The 12,512-nt window shown below is 37.0% G+C and overlaps 1 protein-coding gene across 3 annotated transcripts in view; it reads left to right on the top strand.

Annotated features, from left to right (window-relative positions):
* TRPC5 (transient receptor potential cation channel subfamily C member 5) overlaps window positions 1-11,452 on the top strand; it is a 314,766-nt gene extending 303,314 nt beyond the window's left edge. For 2 of the 3 annotated variants that reach the window (NM_012471.3, XM_017029774.2), the window contains 2 exons: window positions 389-478; window positions 2,461-11,452. In NM_012471.3, the coding sequence (NP_036603.1) occupies window positions 389-478; window positions 2,461-3,150 (780 nt within the window). In that variant the 3' untranslated portion in view covers window positions 3,151-11,452. Of the gene's footprint in view, window positions 1-388; window positions 809-2,460 lie in introns of those variants that run through there. The other variant, XM_047442413.1, reaches the window with a different exon arrangement.
* Window positions 11,453-12,512: the final 1,060 nt, after the last annotated feature.

Genomic DNA, 12,512 nt, shown 5'->3' with positions numbered 1-12,512 from the left:
ACTTAGTGACTCTGAAGAAAACTCTCAATTTTATAAAAGGAGAATAAAACTCTCGTTTTACTATGAGTGTTAACGTGTAATCCATCCTAAAGGAAAAGGATATTAACTATATGACCATGCAAGAATTATTCCACTGGAAATACATGTTTACCTTATGCTTGGGTAAAAAATTTTCCTTTAGGGTTAATTTGATTCTGCCACTAAATTCAGAGACACAATAGTTGTTTAGCCAATGGACTTAACTCATTTTTACAATAAAAGGCTGGATCCTATGAGGATTTTCTACTGCAAAGAAGGTCTAAGCATGTTTTATTTCCTATGTAAGTTTCTTACTGTACTGAGAGCCTGAGAAGGAGACTGAATGCTTCTTCATGTTTTGTAATTCCAGGAAGTTATCAGGAATTTAGTCAAAAGATATGTGGCTGCTATGATAAGAAATTCCAAAACACATGAGGGACTTACAGAAGAAAATTTTAAGGTAATTTAATCATGAAGTGGTTTTTCATTTTACATATCATAAGCATCATTTAATCTTCACAGTGTGTGAGGTTTCTGGTGATGGAATTTCATCTGCTTACAATATAGCAAAGCCAGTTATAATGCTTATTCTCTTAGAATTGTCTCTCATCCAGTAGACGGAGAGATTTTACCAATGTATGTCACACCACAATCAGTGTCAGGAATGAAGGAAATCTGCTGTATGCATTCTTTTAATATTCTGAGTGTTTCTCAGTGTGGAAATTGAATGCTTTAAATGATGTGGCAAGGATGCATGGTGGTGAGGGACAAGATAACAAAGGGAAGATGCCTGCAGACTTAATTATCTTCTTTACTTAAAAGATATAAGATCAAAAAATCTGTTATTAAATCTAAGGTCTTAAGAAACTCTACCATTAAACATTAAAATTATACTAGTGGCATTAGCCTAAAACAACCGTTTTCAACCAGGGGCAATTTTGTCCCCAAGACCACATTTGGCAATGTCTGGAGATATTTTTGGTTGTCACACTGGTATCTAGACAGTAAAGACAAGGTTGCTACTAAGCATCCTACAATGAATAGTACAGTCTCCCACAACAAGAATTATCCAGTCCAACATGTCAATAGTGCCAAGATTGAGAAATCCTATCCTAGAACACATCTATATATATATTTTTTAATTTTTTTATTATACTTTAAGTTCTGGGATACATGTGCAGAACATGCAAGTTTGTTACATAGGTATACATGTGCCGTGGTGGTTTGCTGCACCCATCAACCCATCATCTACATTAGGTATTTCTCCTAATGCTATCCCTCCCCTAACCCCCACCACCTGACAGGCCCCTGTGTGTGATGTTCCCCTCCCAGTGTCCATGAACACATCTATATTTTCTAAGGCACACAGAAAGTCCATTATCCTAATTCATAGACATAATTCATCTACTGAGGGTCTGCTATGTTCCAAGCACTCTGCTAAGTGCTCTGGTACAGTGGTGAGCAAGATCTAACCAGCTCCTACTCTCAAGGAGTGACAAACAATAATAAAGGGTGATGAACAATTTTATATTCTGACAGGTTAAACACAGGACACTGTGGAAACACAGAGAGGAGGGACGCTCATCTGGGACTTGGGGAGTCAAGACAGACTTTCCAATGGAAGTGATGCTTAAGCTGAGGCTTGAAAGCAAAGCCAGCCAGATAAGGGCGAGTTGGGGAGAAGAATGTTCTAGACAGAGAGAACAGCATAGGCAAAGGCCCAGAGGCAAGGGAGAATATGTCCATACAGGTGGACAGCAGAGAGCCTAGGAAAAGAGTAGAAAGATGAAACTGGAGAAAGCAACATGTACTAGGCCTTGAAAAACCTTGTAGTCCATGGTATGGCATTTCTACTTTTTCCTAAAGTCAGTGACAAGTTAGTAACAAGTTTTGAGAAGGGGAAGTACATGAACAGATTTCAGCTTGGCTTTTAAAGGAACAATCTAGTATGTAAGCAGCCAGTTGGAGATAGAAGACATTTCATAGAGGTTTGAACAGGGCCCCCTGTCTCAAAACAGCAGTCTCATCACCTGACATTCAACTTTTCTAGTTTCACTCGTTAGAGTCTTAAAAGCTTTTTCCTCTTCAGTAGTCCTTTTATATGCAGACACCTGAGAGCCAGTGTCCTAATCTAATAACTTGTTAGTTAATACTTAGCAGGAGTTAGTCCTTATGAAAGCACCTCAACAGACTAATCCCTGCTAAAGTGTTAGCTAATCCTGAATCAACTTTACCCATTGTACAATTTTGCCAATGGCCAGCCCAGCCCTGCCCATGGAATTATTAATATGTTTTTCTTGTGTTTGAATAATGGCAGATTTTTCTGGTGTTTTGTGATTTGCTACTAGGCAAAAACCTGGAACATACCAAAGGTATCTAATGTGCCTACTTTGAAATAAAGACCAAGCTTCTTGACATAATATGTCTCCTCTCTTTTCCCAGGAATTAAAGCAAGACATCTCCAGCTTTCGGTATGAAGTGCTTGACCTCTTGGGAAATAGAAAACATCCAAGGAGCTTTTCCACTAGCAGCACTGAACTGTCTCAGAGAGACGATAATAATGATGGCAGTGGTGGGGCTCGGGCCAAATCCAAGAGTGTCTCTTTTAATTTAGGCTGCAAGAAAAAGACTTGCCATGGGCCACCTCTCATCAGAACCATGCCAAGGTCCAGTGGTGCCCAAGGAAAGTCAAAAGCTGAGTCATCAAGCAAACGCTCCTTCATGGGTCCTTCTCTCAAGAAACTGGGTCTCCTATTCTCCAAATTTAATGGTCATATGTCTGAACCCAGTTCAGAGCCAATGTACACAATTTCTGATGGAATTGTTCAGCAGCACTGTATGTGGCAGGACATCAGATATTCTCAGATGGAGAAAGGGAAAGCAGAGGCCTGTTCTCAAAGTGAAATTAACCTCAGTGAGGTAGAATTAGGTGAAGTCCAGGGCGCTGCTCAGAGCAGTGAATGCCCTCTAGCCTGTTCCAGCTCTCTTCACTGTGCATCCAGCATCTGCTCCTCAAATTCTAAACTTTTAGACTCCTCAGAGGATGTATTTGAAACTTGGGGAGAGGCTTGTGACTTGCTCATGCACAAATGGGGTGATGGACAGGAAGAACAAGTTACAACTCGCCTCTAAGTCAAGCCCTAATCATCTGTTCTGGAACTCAACAGAAATCTGTAATTTCCTTGCTCTCAGAGGTGACACAGAATATGATTCCCTCACTGCCCCTGCCCCCCAGAAAGGAGAGTGAAACTCTTATTTGCACCATCTTTTATAGCCACATTCTCCATTTTTGTTCTTGTTTTATTATTACTTTCATTATTATTTGCCTTTTTAATACCTATACACACTAAGTCCATCTTACAACCGACTGAAGGGGTGTTGCACCTAATCATCAGAGGTGCAGTTGGGTGCTTAACCTTTTTGCTTTGCTTTTCTCACCCATGCTTCCTTGAAGCCCCAGGTGCCACTTTGCTGGTCTTGTTGCCGCACAGATTCCTGACCATCCTCAGAATCTCATGCCATTTTCCCGCAGAGCTGAGGGATGTGGTCAGCAGTCCCCACCAGCTATCAGATAAGGCAAACTACCCTGCCCATCTTTGTTGCCATTCAGTGCTACGCGCTGCCCATGCTGGGTCAATGAACAGCATCAAAGGGAGGCTGAAGAGATTTCAAAGAATTGTCAGCTTGTGGTTTCTGGGTATAAGTGGCTTGTTTCGTTCTTAAATACTACAACTTCTTATTGTGGGGGCTATTGAGTTTTCTTGTTTCTTAAAGATGTGTTAGTTTCCTAATGTGTGCCAATGAAATATTTACCCCATAGTATATGTCATATCTAATAAGTTAGGCGAATTATTTTTCTGTTTGTGTGTTTCAGTTAACTTACTACATTTGAAAATTTGATAGTATCAAAATTAGTATTTAGAATTTGTGCTATTTTTTAAAAACATCTACTACACTCTAACCAATAGTCACTACATCTCATACATTGGCAAGATAAATAGTTGTCATATTTGTTGGGTCCTATTCTACTGTTGATAGTTTTAATTATCATTGCTATCAAATAATTTCTAAGATAAAAGCCTGAATTTGAAATATTTTTATCAGAAAAATGGCATATTGCTGAAGTGTCAAAATATGAGAAAAGAGCATCTTCATTTTAATTAACTGCTTTATAAAAATGGCAACTTTAGGTATAGATAACCTAATTCAGGTTGCAGTTTTAATATTCATTGGGGGCAGTGGAATTGCATGTGTAAATTATGTTAGATATATATCATAACAACCCTAGTGGATTCATGGAATTATAAACGTGATCCAAATTCTACTGTCTTCCAAGAAAGCTACATTTATACATCCAAACAAATTCTTTTCCACAGCTTAAGAGTACCTCATCAGAATACAGTGGTTCAAGTTAAAAAATAAAGTCCATAATGCATATGGTCATCATTCTAGACCTGATAACCACTGAGAACCTGCTGAGCAAGGACGGCTTTTACCAACATTAGCACAAAGGTTTCCTCAGTTTAGACTCTAACATATGACCTGAAACAACTCTAGGTCTGAGTCCTAGAGATTACATAAATAGTGTGTAGCCCAGAAAAGTAAAATAGGTGTCACGCTGTTTTTTTTAATGTCAACACCAATAGGAATCCATTTAGATTAATGTATGTAATTTCTGATAAAAGTAAGAGAAATGAGGAACTTTCGAACTGCAAATATGCCTCCAAACTAGCTTTTGATAAGTGTGGTTTCTGTTATTTGAATGGATTCCCATCTTTGTCTCTAGCCTGGAGAAGAGCAAAATGGAGGGGGAGGGGCCAGAAATAGGAGGAGGTTTTGAAGAATAAAGCCTCATATCCAGGAAAAAGTGATCAAGTGAAAAAGCTGCATCAAGACCCATTTGGCAAGAGGTTGTCCGAAAATAATTCCTTGATCATATCTGAAGTGGTTATTTACTCAAATCAATTTCTCCCCTGCTTCGCTAAGACTGTCATAAAATGGCCTTGACATTTAATCACAGGTTACTTTCCAGAAAGGTTTCTAAAGTTACAGATTCAGCTTTTCAAATTGTCAAATTCACTTTGAATAATAATAGAACCTGGGCTACATTCCTAACTCATATTAACAGCACCAAAAGAAATAGCATATAACCCCATTTTATAAAAAGAAAAACATGTTTTTCTCAGAAATGTATATCACTTCTGAAAACTTATAAGTTTTCTAGCAGTGACCTTATCAACTTGTCAGAAAACAGGCTAGCCAGACATGGAACTGTATTCCAAAAGTCTTCTGTCACTTACGTTCTAAAGAGATAATATGTGTAAATCAATCTCTACTATTGAAAGAACCAGTGTCATATGTCACGGGAGTACATTCCTTTTCAGATCTTCTCAGGGTTATCGTTGTGACTTGGGCTTAAGACTTTACTAGCTATAGTGAAGCCTCATTTAGGATGGGGGTTAAAGCTGAACAGCTATTGCCCTAACTTCCATGTTGGTGACACCAACATTTTTATTAACTCTAATTCAGTACAAAGTAGGAAAGGAAAAAGATTTTGTTCACTTCCTTACTCTCTTGATCAAGTATCATAAAAGGTATTTCAAGTGAAAATGCTTAGGTATATCCTCTGACCCCAGAGGAGTTATAAGCCAACTTGAGAGTAAATTTATAAACATAAAAAGAACTAAAAGAGAACTTTATAAAGGATCTACTCTATTCCAACCTCATATTTTACAAATAGAAAATAAAGAGGCCCAGAGAAGGACAATGACTTGCTCAAGGTCACAGAGCTGGTCAATAAACTCAAGTCTTCTAGATTATAGAAGACATTTATTAGTAAGCATATATGTTATATATAGATGTGAAGTGGCCACTACAGACACCCTTTTGTTCATTTGCCAAAAATGCTGTGAACTCCAAAACTTCAGACTTACATATTTAAATGTGAAGTTAAAAATGTACTGCAAAGTCAAACACAAATAATACAAAAATCATTTACTACTTATCTAAAATATCCATATCATGTTCCACCTACATTACAGTTGGCTTATCACTTCCGGACACCTTGGATTCATTTATTTGATCTCATAAAATCTCCCTAATAATAAAGGTAAAAATTACAAAGAAAATATTTGAATTATATTAGAAAGTGACCATTGTTGAAATATCTCCACTTCCAGCTTTATGTCCAGTGAAATACAGAGGAAAGACTAAATTTAAAATCATTTTCGGAAAATGCCAAACTTTACAGAGATATAAATGCTTCAAGTTACGCTTCTGTCTACTGACATGGAGATATTAAAAAATTCCCTGTTCTGCCTCCATCATTTTTCATTCCACTGTGACCTAACTTAGGCTATTTCAGCTAAGTCGTAAATACCTGTCTGCAATTTGATTAAATCATTTTTAAAAAACGAACGCCTCCACTTTTCAAATGACTTAATACCTTTTCCAAAAAGAACTTTATAGTTCTTATGGCAGTGCAAACCTCATCTGAAAACCTCAGTGGGAACTTTAGAGATAAATATGAGGCCAAACCTTAGCCTGAAAATACAAATGACCATTGGCATTCATGTTACATCATGGGTGAATCTCGTGTGGTGTTTTGACTAATAGTTTTAGTGCCCCAGACCTTGGTTTGTTAAATCATCAGGTAAAAAGTACTTGAAGATAGGCAGCAAATCCTTTGTTTAAAAGTACCTTAGAAAAATTGAGGCTGGGCATGGTGGCCCACTCCTGTAATCCCAGCACTTTGGGAGGCCAAAATGGGTGGTTCACTTGAGTCCAGGAGTTTGAGATCAGCCTGGCCAACATGGTGAAACCCATCTCTACTAAAAATACAAAAATTAGCTGGGCATGGTGGTACACGCCTGTAGTCCAACTACTTGAGAGGCTGAGGCATGAGAATCACTTGAACCTGGGAGGCAGAGGTTGCAGTGCACTGAGATCACACCACTGCACTCAAGCCTGGGCGGCAGAGCGAGACTGTCTCAAAAATAAATAAATAAAGGTACCTAAGAAAAATTGAGTATATTTTCTTGGTAATCAAGTTTTCAAAAGATTGCTCATATAGACATAGTCAATGCAAATTGATCCAAGTGTTCAGATCATTTAAATAACCTCTTCATACCTACTTCACAGCCCTACCTTCAATCCCTGCAGCTTTGCCTCAAAACTAAGGATATTTTAGATTGTTTCTTTGGCTTACTTTATCTAGATAATTGCTCCAAATATCCACCTTGTTGGTGTAGGACTCGGCAGTGGGATCTGAGTACCCCAAATGAATGTGAGCTTTACTTCAGCAGAGAGAAACATTGTTACCATTATATTTCCAATGAACCTTCCAGTAACTTTTTTTCCAACAGATGTGGGTTTTGGCTTGCTTTGCCTTTTGAGGGATGTCTGTAAAAGTGAGAACGTGTCTGTGTATATACATAGACACACATAACAAAACTTAACAGCATTTGATGGTTCTGCCCTTGGCCCTTTATCCCTTTAGGTAATTACTAGATCATTTTGAAGAGAGGGAAGCAAGAATAACTTTTCAATGAGACATTTCCTGAGCTGTGAGGAATTGCCAAAATGAACTGCCATGACAGCATCTTCTGTAGCACTTTTATATTGAGAGCTATCAAGATTTGAGGTTCCTGGTTTTGTTTAAAAAAAAAAAAAGCATTTAGGTCAGAATAACTTACCTGGAAGACTTAAATATACACATTTTTGGCAAAATAAAGTCAGTCTGCATACTTCAGATTTACTGTATACCTGAGATTTGGTGCATACTTGAGGTGTTAATATTCATTCATATGCTGGTACGTGGCCTAGGATTTTCATCTTTTGTGTGGTGATCCAGAGGAGGTGTTAGTGGGTGCTTTGTGAGAGCTTTACTTTTAGAAAATGTAATGTTTAAGAAACAGAGTTAACTGCTGGAATGATAGAGGCAGCAAGCCAGTGTGCTCTAGCATCTTTAGGCTCAGTATTTGTGTTATCCCCAACTTGAGTGGATTTGTATCTTGTACTTGATTACTGGATCTGAGTTGTGTTCATTCTTTTTCTAAAGATATACCATCAATGTTTGTGGTACCTGAGAGACATATACATATTAAGAATTATAATATTTAAACATAAAACTAAGTGGAATGCCCTTATGCCAAAAAGCTAGTTTTCTTATATGATGTGAAAAGATGTGAAAGCTCTAGAGGCTTCCTGTTACTACACAAATAAATGACAAACAATTTCTGTAGGAACATAAACAGCCCACAACTTTTGATCATTGAAATCAACTGTCATACATCCCTGAAAGTAGCATGTATCTGTCCTACCCTCCTCCCCCTCAAAGAACTTTCTTTATAACTCCAGTGACTTGATAGAACCAAAAAAGACTAACTGAAGTAGGTTAGAATGACTTGCAACGTGAAGGTCATTTTCACCATTTTTCAGCATATTTGCCCTTTGACTTTAGCAGGTTTTGGGGCAACCTAACATCCCAGGAGCTTACATACATACACACAAAAGGCACTGTCCTTAGTGGCACTTGAATGAATATGTGGCAGTGTGCCTTTTATTTAAGCCTAAGGTAGCCAGCCATTTGAAAGTACAATTAAGCTGGGATTGGCCATTTTGTATCTTTTCCCAGAAGTTCAATATATCCCCAAAATACTCATTGCCACCAATTGCCTTCCAACCTAGGAACCCTCTTGACAGTTCTCCGCTCTTACACAACTCTTAAAGCTGACCCTTGGAAGGAAGAAAGGAGGCTTTGGATTTTTGCTGGGATTGGGAAACTTAGATGGTGATAGTGTAGTAAAGAGACAGTTGGAAAAGCTTTTGAAGTAAGGATGAGTGAGGATATACACTTTAAAACACGGGGCTAAACCACCAAATTGTCAGTTTTTTGGATGGCCAAATTGAGATGAATAACCTGAATTAAAAATATAATTTAAAATGGTTAATTAAAACATTAGCATCATCATTTCTCCTTTAATGAAATTCAAAAAATGCAACAATATATGAAAGCAGAACTACCGGTAAATCATTTTTCAAATTTTGGGTCATATTTGGGTTAAATTTCAGATGTTAACAAGTTCTCAACCTTGGGATCACTGTAAATATAAGTTCAACACACCACACCCATAATGCAATATCACAGATGGGCTTTCATAAATATGTACACTTTAGCCAATTGGAAAGATCACTTCCTTCAAATTTTATCTAAGAAATAAAGTGGGTTTGTCAAAACAACATGAAAGAGAAATGAAAGGTAAGGAAGGGCACTATGGCAAAAAGCCAGATTATGTATCTGCTGTCATCTTTTAGCCTCATAAATTTGGAATAAACATAAAATAGGATAATGACTGATATTTTCATAAACATACCAGAACTTATGCACCCAAATGAACGTGGTCCTTTAAAGTAGTCACCTTAAAAAGCCATACCCATATTCTAATGATGCTGCCATTACTCTACCCACTTTGGACTTCTGCTTTTGAAATGACTTTCAAAGTCCACAGTACAATCTCTGAATATCCTCAATGGTAGAAAATCATGATCCTATAAGATTAAATTTTTAGGAATTTAGAAATTGCCAAAAGTAATTTTAGATCCACACTTGGTAAAACATGTGGTAGTCAAGATGAGTACCACTTTCTCTGGTTAAAAACAAACAAACGAACAAACAAAAAACATTTTCAAGTGCTACTACACAATAGGCACTTTGATAGGTGCAATTATAAAATAATGAGATTGTCTCTTGTGGGATTTGTAAGGGACCTGGAACTGTTCTTGGGAATCTAGTTTTTTTCCCCTAATTAACTTTATTGAGGAATGATTTATGTACAATTACCTGCATTCATTTAAAGTGTACAAATTGGTGAGTTTTCAGAGTTGTATATACCCCTGGAAGCACCAGCCAAAATCAAGTTATAGAATATCTCCATCACCCCCTCAAGAATGCTTGTTCTCCTTTGTATCCTGGAATCTAGTTTCAATTATGCTTGGAGCAGTGGTAGCCTTACATGAATAAGCACATAGCCTCCTGAAGAGAACACTTTAAAGAGCAATATATTTAGATAGAGAAGCTTCACTGATTTGGGAACAACCATAATGATTAACCCTTTGTGTTTAAACAGTAAAATACATTGAGTTCCAATGGCTTATGCTGTAAATAAACTCAGAATTGACTCCTCAAACTTATTTGATCCTTAAGAAATGACATTGTATAGCACAGAGGCTCTGGTGACTAGGCTGTTATCAGGGAGAGGGACAGTAAAGAAAAACCACTAACCTCCATAGAGAACAGAGGGGAGGATTTTGGACTCATAAGAACCCACGGTGGCAGAAGCAATGGAAAGAAACTCTAATAGGAAGATGGCAGCTAGCTAGCTGAATGTGTTCAGGTCATTTGAAAGTCACATATTCAGATTAAGTATTTCCTGTATAAGATCTAGTCATGGTATTTAAAGTATAGCCTCATCATGTTGTGGCCACACCTTGTAGGACCTCCTTGTAAAACATATTAAGCAATCAGTTTAAATATCCAAGGCAAAGTAACCTGTAGTCCAATAAATCAGTGATAACTGTGCTTAGTGTACGTGGGCAGGAGAAGCAGCCAGAATTCTCAAGTGTCTTAACAGGATAAGTGGGACCAATGACACCAAAATGAATATTATGTGAGCACATGAAGAGTCCTCTAAACCCAAAGGGTTAACACATTAGTCTGTGGTTTAATGTAAAAGGAAATTCAATTCGATAAATTAACTTTAAAATTAAGTGTTCAAATTACTACCTTAACAAAGTAAAAGTAAAGCTGTATCTTATCTCAACAGTAAAGACACAGACCTTCCCCAGGACACTTCAGATAAGGATAAACACATCCTTCTCAAGCAAATACATTTTAGTTTGTTTCTTATAATAGGAATGCACACCAGAGGTACTATTCAACAGAACAATAGTTAAACTCTTCACAGGATTCTATTTATTCCATATTTCTCAAAAATGGGGTTGAAATTAGGGATGGGAGTTTCTTTCTACTCAAAACAATGAATGCAGTCTGCAGCTACAAACTAACATTTGGTAGCAGGAAGGAGAATACTAGAGAATACGAGCTATGTGTAATTCACCTTCTAAGCCTAGTTGGCAGCCCCAACCACATATCACCATATAGAAAGTGTGTCAAATTTCAGTTTAAAATGATACATCTTGAGCATAATCATGAAAAGGGAAAATTCCAAATGTGTCTGTGTAAATGACACTGGCTTTGAAGACTATTTTCAAAGTGGAAATCTCTTTGAATAACTATCACTTTTATTTAAACACTTTCTGTAAGTGCACAGTGTCAATCTTAATGTATTAAAAAGAATCTTGTACAATAAAATAATTTTGTGTATTTTTAGCTTCAGTATCAACAAAATAAAGTATTTACTTTTTTCCCCTGAAATGTGTGACAACTCAGATTTTAAGGTGTTATGTTCCTCCCTTTTTCAGTGTAATCATTCGTAGCCACCTATTATTAACATTTATGAACAAAAGACTTCACAATGTAATTTGCCTAGCAGAAACACTAATGGGAGACCTCCACAGTCCAATATATTTTGAAAAGTATATGAGAATAAATATTCTGATTTTTATATCTTCCATTAAACAAAGCTGACTAGTATTTAAGAATTTAATAATAATTTATAAGAACTATGAGATGAAGTAAAGAGACCAATACAGTTTTAAAGCTATAGCTTACAACATTGAAAAACCTTAGAGGCCCAATCCTGGAAATTAATTATTCTTCATTGAGTACTTAAAAGTATGATACATATTGCATAGAACAGTTGGAATCTGTGAGACAGTGAGAAGACATATAAATGGAGGTTAAGCTGGTCATGATTAAACCAGTGTCATCTGAGGACATCTGAGCAATAATTCCAGAATCAGTTGACGTTTCTCCTTCAGCTTTTTTTGTAGTAACAGACTTTTCAGCAACTAGCTTTCTACTAATTCAGATTCCTGAAGTTTGATTGTCTTATTTTACTGATTAACTTTTACACCAGCAGGGCACTGGTTAGCATATCAGAAAAGCTTAACTTTCAGCTAAATAACTCACCTGTAAGTCCTGGCCTAATTATTTTAAGCATAAATGAGTGTACAACATTTACACACTGGTTAGATAAGCATAATTAAAATAAGCAGAAGTCACAAATGAGATAACATCTCACACCAGTTAGAATGGCAATCATTAAAAAGTCAGGAAACAACAGGTGCTGGAGAAATAGGAGCACTTTTACACTGTTGGTGGGACTGTAAACTAGTTTAACCATTGTGGAAGACAGTGTGGCGATTCCTCAAGGATCTAGAACTAGAAATACCATTTGACCCAGCCATCCCATTACTGGGTATATACCCAAAGGATTATAAATCATGCTGCTATAAAGACACATGCACACGTATGTTTATTGTGGCACTATTCACAATAGCAAAGACTTGGAACCAACCCAAATGTCCATCAA

Source organism: Homo sapiens, chromosome X (genome assembly GCF_000001405.40).
Source record: "Homo sapiens chromosome X, GRCh38.p14 Primary Assembly".
In the NCBI taxonomy this organism is placed as follows: Eukaryota; Metazoa; Chordata; class Mammalia; order Primates; family Hominidae; genus Homo; species Homo sapiens.
This window is presented reverse-complemented; position numbering and strand designations above follow the sequence as displayed.